At 56.5% G+C, this 19,560-nt stretch overlaps 2 annotated features.

Moving 5' to 3' along the window:
- Positions 7,147–7,441: an enhancer, noted in NCBI's record as "tiled region #3125; HepG2 Activating DNase matched - State 8:EnhW". NCBI's record gives its function as "activates a minimal TATA promoter and a strong SV40 promoter by Sharpr-MPRA in HepG2 cells {active_cell/tissue: HepG2}" and the evidence as "EXISTENCE:reporter gene assay evidence [ECO:0000049][PMID:27701403]".
- Positions 9,161–9,661: an enhancer, noted in NCBI's record as "H3K4me1 hESC enhancer chr17:78467323-78467823 (GRCh37/hg19 assembly coordinates)". NCBI's record gives its function as "activates a minimal SCP1, AML or CMV promoter by ChIP-STARR-seq in naive H9 embryonic stem cells {active_cell/tissue: H9 hESC(naive)}" and the evidence as "EXISTENCE:reporter gene assay evidence [ECO:0000049][PMID:30033119]".

Raw genomic sequence — 19,560 nt, forward strand, 5'->3', positions numbered from 1 at the left:
TGAGCTGAGATCACGCCACTGCACTCCAGCCGGGCATCACAGTGAGCCTCTGTCTCAAAAACAAACAAACAACAAACAAAAACTATTAGGCATGGTGCAAATATGCTCCTTTTTCTGTTACATTTTCCAAGGTGTCTTGGACGTTTACCAGACGGCTTTGGCAGGTGGCATTCTTTTTTTTTTGAGACGAAGTCTCACTCTTTTCCCACAGGCTGGAGTGCAGTGGCGTGATCTTGGCTCACTGCAACCTCCACCTCCTGGGTTCAAGTGATTCTCCTGCCTCAGCCTCCTGAGTAGCTGGGATTACAGGTGCCCACCACTGTACCAGGCGAATTTTTGTATTTTTAGTACAGACGGGGTTTCACCATGTTAGTCAGGCTGGTTTCAAACTCCTGACCTCAGGTGATCCGCCCACCTTGGCCTCCCAAAGTGCTGGGATTACAGGCGTGAGCCACCGCGCCCAGCCGGCAGGTGGCATTCTTATGTTTGATTCTGCCCATTCTGCAGAGGAGTCAAGCAAGGCTCACTGTATGTTAGTGCCTTGGCCTAAGTAGCAATATTAATTCTAGTACTGCGAGTCTAGCCTTCTGAATTCCATTCATTCATTCATTCATTCATTCGTTCATTCATTGGATGAACATTCTTCCAGGCCTACTATGTGCCAGGAACTCTCCCAGATGGTAGAGACACAAAGATGTTTCCAGCTAATTATTATTATTATTTTTTTAAGACAGGGTCTCACTCTGTTGTCCAGGCTGGAGTGCAGTGGCACAATCTCGGTTCACTGCAGCCTTGACCTCCTGGGCTCAAGCAATCCTCCCACCTCAGCCCCCTGAGTAGCTGGGACTACAGGCGCATGCCACCACACCCAGCTAGCTTTTGTATTTTTTGTAGAGACAGGGTTTTGCTATGTTGCCCAGGCTGGTCTCGAACTCCTGGGCTCATGTCCCTATTTTTTTTTTTAAGTTGATGGATAGAATTTTCTTGGTTTTAAGTTTCTCTTTCATGCACTTTTATTAAAACATTGGCATCTGTTATCCGTAACTACATTAAGATCCCTCTAAGATAGTATCTGGCTGGGCCCAGAGTACCAACATTGAATGACCTGTGGTTTCCTAGGGCAGGATTTCGTGGGATTTTGCAGAGAGACCCCTCACCCCGGCTCTGGGCCACCCTGAATAACAATGTCAAAAACGATCTGGTGGGCACCCTCTGGAGCAGGGTAAGGTGAGTTGGGAGAGAACATGGCTCTCTGCAGCCAGACTCAGTGGCTCACACCTGTAATCCCAGCACTTTGGGAGGCCGAGGTAGGCGGATAATGAGGTCAGGAGTTCGAGACCAGCCCGGCCAATATGGTGAAACCCCATCTCTACTAAAAATACAAAATTAGCCGGGCTTGGTGGTGTGTGCCTGTAATCCCAGCTACTCGGGAGGCTGAGGCAGGAGAATCACTTGAACCAGGGAGGCAGAGGTTGCAGTGAGCCAAGATCATGCCACTGCACTCCAGCCTGGGCAACAAGAGGAAGACTCCGTCTTAAGAAAAAAAAATGGCTCTGTCTGCAAGCTCAGGTGTCTCAACGTCTGGTTCTACCACTACCGGCTGTGGGGCTCTGGGCAAGATGGGAACGTCACACCAGATGGCCCGGGGAGGCCCCAGGGGAGTACCCTGCTCACAGTGAGCACACACTCCACGGCAGCTGCTGTTACTAGGATGATGTGATGTTGTTGTGTTGTTGGTAGGACTAGGCCCATCCAGGGAGGGTCTCAAAGCTGGGTGGGGAGAGCTGGCGTGCCACTTGGGGAGCAAGGAGCTCCGTCTCTCAGCTGAGGCTGGACGTCTACCTCTCTGACACTGCAGGTGTGTGCGCCCCCTCCCTCCTGGGGATATCATGAGGATGAAGCAGAAGCACGCATTGTGTGTGTGCATGTGCAGGGGGCAGGGTGAAGAAATCTTACAATTTTAAACTGCTCAGGTGTCTGGGAAGTAAAGAAAAGAAGGAAGGAATGAAGCCCTCCTTTTGGGATGTCTTGGGGTCACAGAGACCCTTTTCTGGGAAGATTTTTCATTTCCCCATCTTTTTTCATTTATTTGAGACAGAGTCTCGCTCTGTAGCCCAGGCTGGAGTGCAGTGGCACGAGCTCAGCTCACTGCAACCTCCACCTCCCAGGTTCAAGCAATTCTCCTGCCTCAGCCTCCCAAGTAGCTGGGATAACAGGTGTGAGCCACTATGCCTGGCTAATTTTTGTATTTTTAGTAGAGACAGGGTTTCTCCATGTTGGCCAGGCTAATCTCAAACTCCTGACCTCAGGTGATCTGCCTGCCTCGGCCTCCCAAAGTGCTGGGATTACAGGCGTGAGCTGCAGCGCCCGGACTCCGCACCTATTTTCTGCTCTGCGTAGGGACAGCCTAATGCATTCTGCAGCAGGGAGCCATGGCAAATTGGTAACAAGCCGGCCCCTGGCCTTCATCCCACCCCTCCCCGTTCTCAGACCTGCCCTGTCAGCTGACAGTCCTTTGAGCCAGTCTCAGCTCACAGCTTGGCCTTGGCAGTGATCATCCCAGGCTCTGAGAAGGGCTGGCCCCTGCTAGTCTCGCAGGAAGGACCCTGCTGGCTGTGTGTGGTGTGCGCCGCGCTCACTGACCCCTCCGGGCCCCCTCCTTCCACCTCCCTTGCTGCCCTTCCGACGGGTGAGCGGGGAGAGCAAGGCATGAGCCCCCAGCGCGTTCTAGTCCTTCCTGCGTGGCTGTTTCCTGAGTGCTGCCCACTCAGCATGCACTACCCCCCCAGGCCAGGATGATGCTGGGCACACCAGGGAAGCAGGGAGAGAACCTGTCCTTGCCTTTGTGAAGGGGGAATCGTCGTAAGCAGGGAATGATTGCAACGTATGAGAGACTGTGGCATGGATTGTACCTGTCACCTCTCGGCCTCACCTTTCTGAGCCTCTGTCGGCCCTCAGGTCTATGCAGACTGCGCCTCTCCCTCCCCCTCACCAGGCAGCCAAGCAGCCCCTTGCTTCTTCGTCTGCCCTGGGGCCTCTTGGACCTCACCTGCAGGACGTGCTCTGCACAGTTTCCTGCACACCTGCAAGTGTGTGGGGGCCTATGCCTGTGAGCCACCCTTGAGCAAAGGTGTAAAGACCGAAGGACAAGGCCCCCCAGGCCCCTGCAAGTGGGTGGTTCATGAGCTTCCTTGGAAGGTCCCAAAGGACGGAGCTCCAGCCACCCCAGCAGTAGCCAGCTCCATGACCCCCGTTCCCTTCCACTCCTGTGTCACTCCCTATCCCTCAGGGGAATGCAGCTAAAGCAGCAGTGTCTGGGGAGCACCCAGCAGGGCCGTGACTCAGGCTGGGGATCAGGGAGGGACTCCCTGCAGAGGTGACATTTAAGCCAAGCTCTGAAGCAGGAATGGGAGTTGTCCGGGCAAAGAGGCATCCTGGGTGAGGAAAGCAGCCTGTGCAAGGCCTCGAGGTAGGTGAAGCTGCTTGGGAGTAGCAACGGCAGGGTGGGAGGAGTAGGCAGTGGAGAGGATGGACACGGTGGAGGGGAGGGATGTGGTGGAGAGGGATGGACACAGTGGAGAGGAGGTACATGGTGGAGAGGATGGACGTGGTGGAGGGGAGGGACGCGGTGGAGAGGATGGACGCAGTGGAGAGGAGGGACATGGTGGAGAGGATGGACGTGGTGGAGGGGAGGGACGCGGTGGAGAGGGATGGACGTGGTGGAGGGGAGGGACACAGTGGAAAGGATGGACACAGTGGAGAGGAGGGACATGGTGGAGAGGATGGACGTGGTGGAGGGGAGGGACACAGTGGAAAGGATGGACGCAGTGGAGAGGAGGGACATGGTGGAGAGGATGGACGTGGTGGAGGGGAGGGACACGGTGGAGAGGATGGACGCAGTGGAGAGGAGGGACATGGTGGAGAGGATGGACGTGGTGGAGGGGAGGGACGCGGTGGAGAGGATGGACGCAGTGGAGAGGAGGTACATGGTGGAGAGGATGGACGTGGTGGAGGGGAGGGACGCGGTGGAGAGGATGGACGCAGTGGAGAGGAGGTACATGGTGGAGAGGATGGACGTGGTGGAGGGGAGGGACGCGGTGGAGAGGATGGACGCAGTGGAGAGGAGGGACATGGTGGAGAGGATGGACGTGGTGGAGGGGAGGGACGCGGTGGAGAGGATGGACGCAGTGGAGAGGAGGGACATGGTGGAGAGGATGGACGTGGTGGAGGGGAGGGACGCGGTGGAGAGGGATGGACGTGGTGGAGGGGAGGGACACAGTGGAAAGGATGGACACAGTGGAGAGGAGGGACATGGTGGAGAGGATGGACGTGGTGGAGGGGAGGGACACAGTGGAAAGGATGGACGCAGTGGAGAGGAGGGACATGGTGGAGAGGATGGACGTGGTGGAGGGGAGGGACACGGTGGAGAGGATGGACGCAGTGGAGAGGAGGGACATGGTGGAGAGGATGGACGTGGTGGAGGGGAGGGATGCGGTGGAGAGGATGGACACAGTGGAGGGGAGGGAAGTGGTGGAGAGGAGGGACGTGGTGGAGGGGAGGGATGTGGTGGAGAGGATGGACATGGTGGAGGGGAGGGAAGTGGTGGAGAGGATGGACGTGGTGGAGGGGAGGGACACGGTGGAGAGGGATGGACACAGTGGAGAGGAGGGACATGGTGGAGAGGATGGACGTGGTGGAGGGGAGGGACACGGTGGAGAGGATGGACGCAGTGGAGAGGAGGGACATGGTGGAGAGGATGGACGTGGTGGAGGGGAGGGACGCGGTGGAGAGGATGGACACAGTGGAGGGGAGGGAAGTGGTGGAGAGGAGGGACGTGGTGGAGGGGAGGGATGTGGTGGAGAGGATGGACATGGTGGAGGGGAGGGAAGTGGTGGAGAGGATGGACGTGGTGGAGGGGAGGGACACGGTGGAGAGGGATGGACACAGTGGAGGGGAGGGACGCAGTGGAGAGGATGGACATGGTGGAGGGGAGGGATACGGTGGAGGGGAGGGAGGAGAGGGGAGGGACGCGGTGGAGAGGATGGACACAGTGGAGGGGAGGGACACAGTGGAGAGGATGGACACGGTGGAGGGGAGGGAAGTGGTGGAGAGGAGGGACGTGGTGGAGGGGAGGGATGTGGCGGAGAGGATGGACGTGGTGGAGGGGAGGGACACGGTGGAGAGGGATGGACACAGTGGAGGGGAGGGACGCAGTGGAGAGGATGGACATGGTGGAGGGGAGGGATACGGTGGAGGGGAGGGAGGAGAGGGGAGGGACGCGGTGGAGAGGATGGACACAGTGGAGGGGAGGGACGCGGTGGAGAGGATGGACACAGTGGAGGGGAGGGAAGTGGTGGAGAGGAGGGACGTGGTGGAGGGGAGGGATGTGGCGGAGAGGATGGACGTGGTGGAGGGGAGGGACACGGTGGAGAGGGATGGACACAGTGGAGGGGAGGGACGCAGTGGAGAGGATGGACATGGTGGAGGGGAGGGATACGGTGGAGGGGAGGGAGGAGAGGGGAGGGACGCGGTGGAGAGGATGGACACAGTGGAGGGGAGGGACACAGTGGAGAGGATGGACACGGTGGAGGGGAGGGACGCGGTGGAGGGGAGGGACGCGGTGGAGGGGAGGGAGGAGAGGGGAAGGATGCGGTGGAGAGGAATGGATGTGGTGGAGGGGAGGAACGCATTGGAGAAGATGGACACAGTGGAGGGGAGGGACGCAGTGGAGAGAGACGGATGCATTAGAGAGGGATGGACGTGGTGGAGAAGATGAGCGTGGTGGACAGGGATGGATAAGATGCTCAGCAATGGACGCAGTGGTCATCGGCGCCTTCTTGGCAGGCCACAGGGAGGAGTTTAGACTGCGCTAGGGCAAGGGGGAGCCACACAAGGGTTTGGAGCAGGAACTATTTTGGCCACTTGATGGAGACCGGATGCAGTGTTGGGGCCAGAGCAGGCAGGGAGACCCATTAGGAGGCTGTTCCGGTGACCCGGTAGGACGACAAGCAAGAACAACAGTGGGGGTGGGGAGAATACCCCCAAATTGTGCCATAGTCAGCTTCAGCATCTCATTCCGTGTGAATTACGAGGCTGGTCATGGTGAGTGTCGGGGCCTCCATGGATGCTCGGGGTGATTTCTCATGGATCCTGCAACCACGTCTCCCCTTCACAAGCCTCTTGCCAAGCCCTGCTGGCCCTGGTCCTCTGTGTTCTTGCTCCTTAGGTCAGTCTCAGACATTCCTGACACTTGTGCTTCGTGGCCCTTTCCCAGCCCTGGCTGGCATCTCGCGATGTAGAAGGGAGAGAGGCCAGAAGGAGAGCAGCTCAGCCCACGAGGAGGTGCCCATGGAGGCTGGCAGGGGCCCAGGGGCCCCCCTGCACTCTCCCCAGTTTTGAGACCTTAGGGCAGTCTCTCACCCTCCAGTCTTGGTTTCTCCACCTCTGAAAGAATCACTTTTCCTTCCTGCCAGGAACTGAAGTCAAAGGCACGGCATTATTGAGACACATTGGGGAGCAGTGGGCCCAGCACTGGGACCCATGCTGGGTGTCCCAAGAGCACAGAATGTTGGCAGGGAGGGGCGGGGGCCAGGCAGGGAGCTCCCTGCTGCTCTACGGCTGCCCCACCTGCAGCCCTTCCCTTCACCCCACGCCCCAGTTTCCTCTGCTCTTGGGTGGCCAGTCACCCAGGGGTGGTATCCAGGGAGGTTCTTGCAGGCCCAGCTTCACTGGCCTGGAAGGGCTAAGCTACCTGGCCCAGGGGTGTGTCCACTTTGTCCTGGGCAGGCTATGGGCATCCCACAGGTGGAGTCCCATGGCAGGGCTGGAGCCAGGGGGTAACTCGGCAGGACAGAGGCCCAGCCACCAGGAAGCTCGCCTGCTGATGGCCAAGCTCAGGACACCTTGCACCACTGTACCTGAGGACAGGCTGTGACTGATGACAGTGGCTTCATCCTCAGAGGGGAAGTGTCCTGGAGGGATGTGGCTGGAGGCACCCAGCCCTGCGGGAGCCCCTTTGAATGAGCAGATACCTCGGGAAGCAGGGTGAAGGGGGCAGAAACTGGGAACTCTGGATTTCAAGACTTGAAAGAAAAGTGCTGCATTGTGCGGTGGCATCTGCTTGTGGGGACAAGGGCTCCCTGGTGAGACCTCTCCATCCCCTCCCTCCCTCCCCCTCTGTCTCACACTCTTTCTCTCTCTCCCTGTCCTCCTATCTCGGCCTCGCACTCGGGTCGTGTTTGGTCTGTGATGTCACCACTCCCCTCCCTGTGGCTGCCATTCAGAGCTGGCAGTAATGAAAAGCACAGGATTCCCACTCACTGGGCCCCAGCAGCACTACAGAGACATGGAGCCCTTTGTTGCAAATAATTAACTTGGTCCCATGTTGCATAACATCCTAAAAAGCTTTCCTGAGCGAGCACCCGCCAGACACTGTGATCTCATCAATACTGCATCGCATCGGACACTACTGCTGTGTGATTTCATTAAAAATTTAATTTGTGTTTTAAATCTGCAGTGTTCCCTTTAAAAGGATGGCGAGGGCGGGGGATGAAGAGAGTGACAGGCTTGGGTCTGGGGGTGGGCATTCCAAAGCAGAGGAAACCCCACGCCCCACAGGAGGTGGGGGCGGGGCTTCCCACTGGAGCAGCGGCCCCTCTCCGATTGGCTGGGCTTGGTCTGTGGCCTCTCCTGGTGCTGGAGGGAGAGTGATGGACCATTGATGGAAAATGCTTTTCTGAAGCTTAATGGTTTTCCCTTTCTCTCGGCCACCTCAGGCAGAGGGCTGCTCCTGGGAACCCAGACACAGGAGGATGGCCAGGTGGTGGTGCAGGTGGTGGTGCAGGTGGCGGTGCAGGTGGCAGGGCAGGTGGCGGTGCAGGTGGCGGGGCAGGTGGTGGTGCAGGTGGCGGTGCAGGTGGTGGGGCAGGGCAGGAGTGCCAGGTGGCAGGGCAGGTGGCGGTGCAGGTGGCGGTGCATGTGGTGGGGCAGGTGGTGGGGCAGGGCAGGAGTGCCAGGTGGCAGGGCAGGTGGCGGTGCAGGTGGCGGGGGCAGGTGGCGGTGCAGGTGGCAGGGCAGGTGGTGCAGGTGGTGGTGCAGGTGGCAGGGCAGGTGGCGGTGCAGGTGGCGGGGCAGGTGGCGGTGCAGGTGGCGGTGCAGGTGGTGGGGCAGGTGGTGGTGCAGGTGGCGGTGCAGGTGGTGGGGCAGGGCAGGAGGGCCAGGTGGTGGGCAGGCGGTGATGCAGGTGGTGGTGCAGGTGGTGGTGCAGGTGGCAGTGCAGGTGGTGGGGCAGGGCAGGAGGGCCAGGTGGTGGTGCAGGTGGCAGTGCAGGACGTGTTTTCCGGAGACCCCGTCCTCTGTGCCCCTCCAGACCCAGTGCCTACAGTGGTCAAGACCAGAGCTGCAGCCTCACTCCTGCCCTCCTGGCTGTGTGACCTCAGGCAAGCTGCTTGTCCTCTCTGAGTACAGATCACTGCCCGGAGTGTGAGTGGGGGCCTTGCCTGTCCCCAGCTCCAGGTTGCTGACAGGAGAGTGTGAGTGAAGGGCCTTGCCTGTCCCCAGCTCCAGGTCAGCACCCGCAGTGTCACTCTCACCCCCGTGTGGCTATGGAGCAGGCAGCCATTGGTGACTGGGTAGCAGACCCTCCGGAAAGGCTGCGGTTCTGTTTTCTTTCTTTGTCTAGACTTCACTCTCTTCCAGAGAGGATTTAAGCTGGCCTTCATCATCGGTGCTGCCTGCAGACCCGTCCCTGGGATTTCGCTGCGAATGGGATCCTGTTGTTTCTAGACAGGGACCTCCATTGTGTTGGGGGGGGATTGGTTTCACTCCTGTTTCCAGTGAGCGGGGAGGGAAAGAGAGCTCAGGTTCTGGTTGGGGGAGGAGAGAGAGGAAGGTGAGGGGAGCACGGAGAAGGAGACTCTGGGGCAACTTCGTGATGCTGCCTGCCTGGCTCTGCCTGGGGACTCTTTGGTCCCGCCCGCCCTGGCCAGGCCAATTGTTTCCTGCGGAAGGCAGGGATTTGTGCATCTCCAACTATCTCCTGACAGTATGCCAGAGTGATTAAGCTAAGCCTCCCGGGGCCAGCAGAAGAGAGGGGACAAATTGCTTTGTGAAATTGATTTGCTGCTGTTAGCATTTACAGCTTGCCCTGGGTACGCCCACAGTGTGAGGCGGCTGCGTGGGCGTCCTGCTCCCCCTTCCCTCTCCCGCAGCACACGGGCTCTCACTTGGCACCTGCGCACACATCACCTGTCGTGTGTCACATAGCCAGGCCTCAGGACCTGGACTTCAGTACCACTCACCTCAGGGCACAGGTCCAAAGTGTCCCAAATGCCCATGGAGGCAGACGGCCACCCACAGCTGCAGCCTGCAGAGAGAATTGCCCCAGAGACTCTTGGATAGGTGGGTTTCCCCAGGCCAGCGTGAGAGCTGGGGCCACGAGATCTGAGAGGACACCTGGAGGCCCAGAGAGGAGGCGTGAGCTAGCCCTGGGCCAGGGTCTCCCCATCTCTTTTTTTTAAATTTGTTTTGTTTTAGACTGAGTCCCAATCTGTGGCCCAGGCTGGAGTTCAGTGGCGTGATCTCGGCTCACTGCAACCTCCTGCCTCAGCCTCCCGAGTAGCTCGGATTACAGGCGCATGCCACCATGCCCGGCTAATTTTTGCATTTTTAGTAAACACTAAAAATGATTTCATCATGTTGGCCAGGCTGGTCTCGAACTCCTGACCTCAAGTGATCCGCCCGTCTCAGCCTCCCAAAGTGCTGGGATTACAGGCGTGAGCCACTGTGTCCGGCCTCTCCCCACCTCTTGGGGGGCCCCTTCTGCCACACCGGCTGCCCTCCTCCATTCCAGGGGAAGGAAGACAAGGAGAATATTGCCCTGGTCAGCAACAGTTCTCATAGAAGCTGTATGAACTCAGGTGAGCGTCATGAACCCACACGCCTGGGTGCTGGGGCCATTCAGAGAAGAGGCGGTGCTGGGACTGGTGGATCCTTCCAGACAGAGAAATGTGGCTGAGCATCACCACCCAGGAAATAGAAAGCACTGACAATTCGCCCAGGTGGGTCCCACTATGCATTTCAAGAAATGCGTGCTTGGTAACGGAGGCAGCATGGCCTCGGTGCACCCCAGGAGATGGGAGACTCAGGCTACGGGCGCTGCTGGGTATAGTAGCCTGCTTTCAGGCTCTCCTTGGGCACCAGCTCTGAGCAGGCTCTAGGCATGACTAGATGGTGGGAAGGGGGTCCAGGGAGCCATGAGAGGAGCAGCCTCAGCGTCTCTCCTGGGCTGGAGCCAGGTCCATCGCTCAGCTGCTGTGTAACCTCAGACAGGTGACTTCACCTCTCTGGGCTGTGGTAAGGGTTACATTAGACAAACCCCACAAGGCTCTTAGAACAGTGCCGGTTGGTAGGCGGGGCACGGTGACTCACACCTGAAATCCCAGCACTCTGGGAGGCCAAGGTAGGCGGATCACCTGAGGTCAGGAGTTCAAGACCAGCCTGGCCAACATGGTGAAACCCCTTCTCTACAAAAATCAGCCGGGAGTGGTGGCACACACCTGTAATCTCAGCTACTCAGGAGGCTGAGGCAGGAGAATCACTTGAACCTGGGAGGTGGAGGTTGCAGTGAGCTGAGATCACGCCATTGCACTCCAGCCTGGGCAACAGAGCACGGACTCCGTCTCAAAAAAAAAAAGAACAGTGCTGGTCAGTGGAAGCATTTGGCAAATCCTAGTTGTGACTGTTGCTGTTTTCCCCTCCCTTGAGATGCTCAGATGTTTGTCATCATACAAGGACGTGAGGGTGGGGCACACCAGCAGTGCTTCTGAGGTTAGGGGGCTCTTCAGTCCCAGGCCAGGGGGAAGGAAGGAAAGTGGGTCTCTCAGCAGCACCACAGACTGGACCCTAGCACAGCAGGCACGTCCCTTTAAAAATTTAAATTAAAAATATTTAAATGGGGGTAAAATATACATAACATAAAATGTACCATGTTAACTGTTTTTGAGTGGAGCGTTCAGTGGCATTAAGCACATTCACGTGATTGTGGGACCATCACCATGAGTCCCCAGAACTCTTTTCATCCTCCCAAACTGAACTCCGTCTCCATTAAATACCAACTCCCCATTCGCCCTCCCCCAGGCCTGGGCACCCCCCCATTCTACCTCTGTTCCAGTTAAACCAGTGCCCAGCGAGACTCATGTAAGTGGAATGATACAGTGTTTGGCCCAGGAAGCCTTGTGTAAGTGGAATGATACAGTTTTGACCCAAGGAGGCTGGTGTAGCTTCTACCTTTCCTCTATAATGAATAAGACTGCTGTGAACACGGGTGTAGAAATAGCTCTTCAAGACCATGCTTTTACTTCTTGTAGATGTGTACCCAAAAGTGGAATTGCTGGATCATATACCTCCCTTTTAAAACAAATGCAGAAACTGAGGCTATACAGAAGGGCTCAGAGGTTTGCCGAGGGTCCCAGCCACCTCAGTGGCGGAGCAGGCAGCATTTCCCCACCCCAACTCTGTGGGTCGCTGGCACTATGCTCTCCCTCCCCAGCGTCTGTGTGGCCTGTTTTATTCCCAGGCTTTATAGAAGGCTCTCTGGAAGACATGAGCTGTGATGGATGCACCAAAGGAGGGTCATCACCATTCCTTCTTTTTTTTTTTTTTTTTTTTTCTGGAGACAAAGTCTCACTCTGTCACCCAGGCTGGAGTGCAGTGGCGTGATCTCAGCTCACTGCAACCTCCGCCTCCTGGGTTCAAGTGATTCTCCTGCCTTGGCCTCCTGAGTAGCTGGGATTACAGGCACCCACCACCACGCTCAGCTAATTTTTTGTATTTTTAGTAGAGATGGGGTTTCACCATGTTGGTCAGGCTGGTCTCGAACTCCTGACCTCAAATGATCCACCCATCTTGTCTTTCCAAAGTGCTAGGACTACAGGCATGAGCCACCATGCCCAGCTGAGTGTCATCACCATTCTGAACTAGTTTTACTCACACTCTGACACCAAATGTGTGAGGGTTTTTTTTTTTTTTCCTACATCGACCAGTTCTTCAACTTTCCAGACAGCTGGGTGGCCTACAACTCACTTCAATTCTTACACTGACTACCTGTAGTTAGCACAGACCTCACATTTAAGGGTCAGTCCCACAAGATTGCCCCCTCCTTCAGACACCAATGACAAGTCCCAGGTTGTCACCAGTTCTTCTGGTTGACTGGCTATAAATCAGGGTTCCCATAACCCCCATCTCAGGTTCAACAGTTTACTAGAATGACTCACAGAGCTCAAGAAAGTGCTTTACTTACTATTGCTGGTTTATTATAAGGGCTACAACTCAGAAACAGCCACAAAGAAGAGATGCATAGGACAAGATACGGGGGAAGAGGCACCAAGCTTCCATGCCCTCCCCAGCACCTTGACCTGTTCCCCAACCCAGAAGCTCTTTGAACCCCATGTTTAGGGCTTTTTACGGAGGCTGCATCACACAGTCGTGCTTGATTAAATCATCCGCAGTTGGTGATCAACTCAATCTCCAGCCCCTCGCCCCTGTCCAGAGCTCATTGAATCGGGAGCCTTAAGAACCCCCCACCCCCAGTTGCTCTTTCTCTTCCCTCTGGCATGGTGGCTAGATCCCTAGGTGATGAAGTGGAAGGAGGCCTCCTGCTGATCCACGATGAACCTACTGTGGGAAAGAACCAGAAAGAACAGCTGCCGCTTAGAGCAGGTGGTATCTCAAGCCTGTGTGTTACTGCAGCAAAACCTATGGCCGCCTGGGTCCTGACCACCTGAGGGGTACAGTGTTCTCAGGGGCGCATTTCTGCCTTCACGTCCCTGAGCCTGGGGAAGTCCTGCCCAAACTCGGTTCTCCTGGAGTCTCTTTCATCTTTGAGGCAACCACTACCTTTCCGTCAACTCCCTCTTCTGCTTCAGTTAACCACAGGTAGGTTTTGCTCCTTGCAACTGACAACCTGGGCTGATGGAGGAAGCTGTTTCAGCTGTTATCAAGCAACACCTCGAGCAGGTGAGTCTGTAGCTGGAGGCCTCCAAGGTGCTGGTGTCTGAAGCAAAGATAGGTCACTGGAAAAAGAGGTGGCGTGTGTGTGTGTGTGTTTAGAAACAGAGTGTAGTTGTGTGTCTGTGCATGTAGAAAGAGGACATGGTTGTGTGTGTGTGTTTGTGTGTGCGTGTATAGAAAGAGGATGTGGGGCCAGGCACAGTGGCTCATGCCTGTAATCCTAGTGTATAATTGGGAGGCTGAGGTGGACAGACTGCTTGAGCCCAGGAGTTCAAGACCAGCCTAGGCAACATATCGAGAGTCTGTCTCTACAACAAAAAATAAAAAATTAGCTGGGCATGGTGATGCATGCCTATAGTCCCAGTTACTCAGGAGACTGAGGCAGGAGGATCACTTGAGACAGGAAGGTTGAAGCTGCAGTGAGCTATGATCACGACACTGCACTGGGTAACAGTAAAACTCCGTCTCAAAAAAAAAAAGTGTTTTTTTGTGTTTGTGAGCATGTGTGTGAGTGTATAGGAAGAGGATGTGGTCATGTGAGTGTGCCTGTGAGTAATGTATATGTGAGTATACCTGTGTGTGTGTGTTGTGTGTATATGTGAGTGTGCCTGTGTGTGTGTGTTGTGTGTATATGTATGTGTTGTATGTATATGTGAGTGTGCCTCTGTGTGTGTGTTGTGTATATGTGAGTGTGTGTGTTGTGTGTATATGTGTGTGTTGTGTGTATATGTGAGTGTGTGCTGGGGCAGCATCACAGGAATTCGCCTGCCATAAGGCCGGGCTGCGTCACGGCTAAGGCCGCAGTTCCCCCACCGTGCCTGGGTTTGGATCCTGGCTGCTCCGGTCGCCTGCTGTGGGTCCTTGCACACATTAACCTCTGAACACCAGTGGCCGTATCTGAAATAGCGCGAGAACAAAACTCAGGATTGCTGGGGAGCTGTAGGAGTGGAATTATGCAAAGCATGGCATGTCGCCCGTAACAGACTTCCGGGCCACCGTGGTGGTGCCGACACAGGCCGGCCGGGGCGTGCGTGGGGTCTGGCTTTGTCTTCTTGTCTCCCTCTGCTCCTCCCTCCTCCCCTGGCCGAGGGAGCCCGGCCTGTCTTCCTGGCCACAGTTCGGGAGGCCGCCGTCCTCAAAGCTGGGCACCAGCTATGGCTCAGTGTCTCCAGCCTCCAGGATTCCTGTGGTCGGGATCCAGCGTCTCTTTATCGTTTTTAAAGTGTTTTGCTGCTGGGAAGCCTCAAGCCTCTCCGCAGAGGGACATAAATAAAGGCAGGAACTTGGCCATTAGTAGGCTTCATGTGGCGTTTCCACCTGGGAGCGCCCTGGCGTGCTGCAAGCTGCCCTCACTGGCCAAGAGCAGGGCGGGAGGGGAGCCTCTGGAGTTCTCCGGTTCTGGGTTAGGTGCCTCTTACTCTCTGGGCTGCAAACAGACGGGGGTGCCTGGCAATGTGCCCCGGGCGGAGCACCCCTAACAGTTGCAGTTCAAATTTGGAGCCAGGCTGACCCTGGTTCAAGTCCTGTTGCTGTGTGCTGGCCGTGTCCCTGGACGGGTGGCACAAGGTCTTGGTCTCCAGTGTGCAGATGAGAGATGGTGATTATCTACTCCTGGGTGCTGGGCTCAGAGCCGCTGGCACCAGCCCTGGGGGCTGCCAGACATATAGCCCTCGGCTCTGTCACGCCCGGAACTCAAACCTCGCAGGCAGTCAGGGGAGAGGTCTGTGTGTGGAGCTCAGAACTCAGTGAGCACCCCATGTGCCTGTAAGGCCTCGCCATCTCCTACCCAACCCAGATGAGGCTCCTGCTTCCCACCCCTGGCAGGGAGTCTGATCTCATCCTAGCTCAAAGGTGGAAACTGAACGTGGGCCAGGTGGCAAAGTTCCCCAGTGGGTTCAGCTTCCGCCGGGTGGAGGAGGTGGGAGGCATGGCTGGAGGCCTGGCATCAGGCTGGATGAGGTGGACCCCTCAGGCTTGAATCCAAGAGGGCTCAGAGGGTGAGTGGGGCCCCAGGCCACGTCTCCAACAGCTGCCCACCTAGCCTTGCGCCTCCGCCTTCCTTCCTTCCTTTAAAAATGGCTACAGGCACATTTTCTTTGATTACTTTTATACTGAATAACACTATCCTTTTTAAAGCAAAAAATACATGCTCATGATAAACAAATGGAACCGGACAGATCTTTATCAAGGCCCCCGCAATGTGACCTTGTGACTCCAAGACAGAATAACTTTCCATGTGTGTTTTCAAGAGGTTGTGGGGAGCCGCTGAACCTGGGAGCAGTGAGGGCACAGGCGAGAGCTGTGGCCAGGAGAGTCACAGGAGCGGCAAAGACGAAAGGGAGTGGGAGATGGGAGGCCAATCAGAAAGCAGTGCCCGAAGCTGGGTGAGGAGCAGCAAAGGCGGGGGTTTCCTTGAGGATACCTGAGAGCCATGCTAGGGTGGGGAGGTCTGGGGGGAGTTGTGGGCTGGCCTTGAGTTTGAGATTGAGGCCCAGGCTGAGAGCGTGGTGACCCCTGCACTGTGGGTCTGCTCGAGCTGTGTGCTTCCCAGGAGCAAGAGCAAAGAGGCCAGAGGGAGGGGGGCAGAACAGGCCAGCAAGGGAGCCCCCAGAACAGGACACGCGTTCCTTGGCCCTCCCCAGGCAGCCCTAAGAGGGAAGAGAAGCTCTGCCCCCTCCTGCCCCCTCCTGCCCTCTCCTGTTCCCTCCTGCCCCCTCCTGCTCTCCTCCATGGAGTCAGGGGGCCCCAGGTGGCCATGGCCAGCCCATTCAGGGATCTGAGCCCCAGAGCCTGCATGCCAGGGTGAGCAGAGCCAGCTTGACTGCAGCCATGCTGACCCCGCAACCTTCCCCGAGGTCTGAGGACACCACGCTCCCTTCCTGCCGGCAGGTTGTAATTGGGTTTCACACGGGGCCTTCTGGCGCTGACCTACATGTTCCGGTCCGTGCCTCCTTGGTTTCTGAGTGTGTGCCCCTGATGGTTCTGGAACCTCTGGGCGTGGGCCTCCTTCCCTCCCCGCCTCATCAGCTGCTCTGATTCCACCGGGCAAGGTCAGGCTGGCAAGGAAGGAATTGGAGCTGCAGTCTGGGCGCCAGGCCCAGAGTGTGCTTCCCAGGGGCTGCCTGTGGGGAGGCTCCCGATCTGCCCACTCCCGAAATAAGAAGGGGCGCCCAGAGAGGAGGAGACTCTGGATGCGTGGTCAGCAGGCACCGGCTGCCATCCCCAGGAGAGTCATTGCCTGTGAGGACGTTGACCCTGGTAGGACCCGCCTCTCTGAAGCTGTCTCGGGTGTGAGTGAGGAGGAACGGGGTCTCTGGGGACTGAGCCCTCATCTCCAGTGCAAAATGCAGAGGCATGGGAGGGAATCAAATGAAACAGTGTGTGTGGAACAGAAGGCGCCAAATGGGAATGTCCCCCTGCCTGTCCATCTCCCTCCCTCCCCCGCCTCCTTATTTGCAGACGGAGGGACTGGATATCCTGGCAGAGCGTCTTCCGTGATGCGTAACCTCCCAGGAGATGCATGTTCTGGGGTTCCCCACTTACAGTTGAGAATACAGAGGCTAAGAAGGGTGAAGGGACTGCCTCCGGGTCCCAAGGCTGTTCCAAGTGATCTAGGACTCAGCTTTGGTCCTCCTGCCCTCAGCACCCTTGGTCATCACCTCCACTCGGTGTGCAGGAGGCTCCTGCTGTAGGTGCCCAGATGTTCGGCAGCTTTGTACTTAGAAATTTCGAGGGGGCGGTCGGGCGCTGTGTCTCACGCCTGTAATCCCAGCACTTTGGGAGGCCGAGGCAGGTGGATCACAAGGTCAGGAGATCGAGACCATCCTGGTTAACACAGTGAAACCCCGTCTCTACTAAAGATACAAAAAAATAGCCGGGTGTGGTGGTGGGCGCCTGTAGTCCCAGCTACTCGGGAGGCTGAGGCAGGAGAATGGTGTGAACCCGGGAGGCGGAGCTTGCAGCTAGCCGAGATCACGCACTGCACTCCAGCCTGGGTGACAGAGCAAGACTCCCTCTCAAAAAAAAAACAAACACACAGAAATTTCGAGGGGGCAGAGGGTGTCCTAACCTTGTCCCTCAGCAGGTCTTCACCCTGGCACCTTCACCAGACACCCGCCATGGCTCTCGGCTCAGCGGGTAGCTGAGTGTGTTCTCTTTGGGTTCTGACAGGTTCCAGCTTGTTTTTTGAGACCTTGTCAGCGTGGGGCCTGCCGGGAAGCAGGTGCTTGTCTTTAATGGGATGCCTTATCCTGGGCTCCACAGGCTGCACGGGGCGTTGTTCAGGTGACTCCTACACGCCGAGGCGTCTCTAGAGGAGGAGCCTCAAAAGGACTAGCAGGGGGTGCAGATAACTTTGTTTTTAAAATGAAGCCAAAGCTTTCACCACATCTCAGAGACAGAGTGACCCGAATGTGGAGGTTTGGCTGGAACCAGGCAGGTACCATCCACTACGGCTCCCACCTCTCCTGCTCGGAATCCCCCGCTGCCCTCCCCCAGGCCCTGGTCTCTGATTTCAGACTCGCCTCTGCTCTGTTTCACGTCTCCTGCAAGCAGACAAGCATGAAGCCTGCCCTCCGAGGCTGCATGAATAATAGAACTGAAATCATCCCTAGTTAAAAATAGATACTCTTCTTAATAAATATTTTACATACTGTCTTTAGGATATACAGGTCCCCTGGCTGAAGACTTAAAGCAAACCCTGTTATCGAAACCAAAAGATGTAGGAAAGGCTCTGCCCGGGCTCTGCCAGTGTGTTCCTGCACCACGGCTCTTGCCTCAAAGCCACCCACTCTGCGGTGACGTCCGACGCAGACAGCGCACACACGGATTACGTTGGAACTCATAGCCAGGAGCGGCTTGGGAATTCTTGGGTGTATTAGTCACTTGTGAATTTTATGGAGGCAAATCAATTATAAAGTGCCCCTTGGTTAGTGAGGCTTGGAGTTCAGAAAACCCAAAAGCAGGTTCTTACGTTACTGCTGCGAGGCAAGGCCTTCACCGTGAATGGAAGCTGGGGTGTCTGGGGGCAGCTGTGTGGAGGAAGAGAAAATTCTGGGCAGAAGCAGTTGGAGTTTAAAGTGCTGGCCCATTTCTGAAAACTTTGCAAACTTTGCAAAAACTTTGGATCGGACGTCACTGCAGAGTGGGTGGCTTTGAGGCAAACAGAGCAATCTTGAAGGTCTCCATTAATGAAGGCATGGCGTGGTCTGGATGCAGCAAATGCATTTGAATGATCTGCAGGAAGGCCTCGTAGCCTTGCTCCCCCCACCCATGTGCTTCCCCAGGAAGACAGGGGCAGCTAGGAAATGCTGGGGCCTGCCCAGTGTGCAGACCGCTTCCAGGTGACCCCACGCTGCATGGCCCAAGGCAAAGGCTGGAGCGTCCTTATTTAACAGGAGAGGAAAGTGGATACTGGAAGGGCAGAGCGTGCTGGGGCTGGAACAGACAAGCCCCAGGCTGGAGGGCCCATGTCTCACTCCCTCTGCCCCACACCTCAGCTGGTCTGCCTATGTGGTATTCTTGAACTGAGTGAAGAGACCCTTCTCTGTCAGGGCCACCTGCCCCACAGAGGGGCTCTTGTCTTCCTTGTGCTCAACATACCTTGAGGACATTTTGCTTTAGCACCCAGCACCCTGGATGGCATGTAGGGGTCCAGGTGTGTCTCTGCTCCAGACAGTGAATCCTTGAGCACCTGGCTTAGAGCTGGGCCCCTGGTACATGTTGTTACATGGATGGGTGGGTAGGTGGATGGGTGGGTGGGTAGGTGGATGGGTAGGTGGGTGATATGATTTGGCTTTGTGTCCCCACCCAAATCTCATCTTGAATTGTAATCCCCATAATCCCCACGTGTGAAGGGAGGGACCTGGTAGGAGGTGATTGGATTATGGGGGGTGGATGGGTGGATGTGTGGATGGAGGGATGGGTGGATAGATGGAGGGATGGAGGGGTGGATGAATAGTGTGTATGGATAAGTGGATGGAGGGATGGGTGGATGGGTAGATGGAGGGATGGGTGGAGGGGTAGAGGGGTGGATGGACGGATGGATGGGAGCATGTATGGATAAGTGGATGGAGGGATGGGTGGAGGGGTAGAGGGGTGGATGGACGGATGGATGGGAGCATGTATGGATAAGTGGATGGAGGGATGGGTAGATAGGTGGATGGAGGGATGGGTGGATAGGGGGATGGAGGGATGGGTGGATGGGTGGATACATGGATGGAGGGATGGTGGATAGGTGGATGGATGGATAGAGGGAGGGGTGGGTGGATGATGGAGAGAGGGATGAGTGGATGGATGGATGAGTAGATGAACAGATGTGTGGATAAAGGGATGGGTGAATGGGTGGATGGAGGGATGGGTAGATGGGTAGATGGAAGGATGGATGGAGGGGTGGAGGGGTGGGTGGATGGATGGATGGATTGTTGTGTGTATAGATAAGTGGATGGAGGGATGGGTAGATGGGTGGATGTGTGGATGGAGGATGGTGGATAGGTAGACGGATGGATAGAGGGAGGGGTGGAGGGATGATGGAGAGAGGAATGAGTGGATGGA

Source organism: Homo sapiens, chromosome 17 (assembly GCF_000001405.40).
Source record: "Homo sapiens chromosome 17, GRCh38.p14 Primary Assembly".
In the NCBI taxonomy this organism is placed as follows: Eukaryota; Metazoa; Chordata; class Mammalia; order Primates; family Hominidae; genus Homo; species Homo sapiens.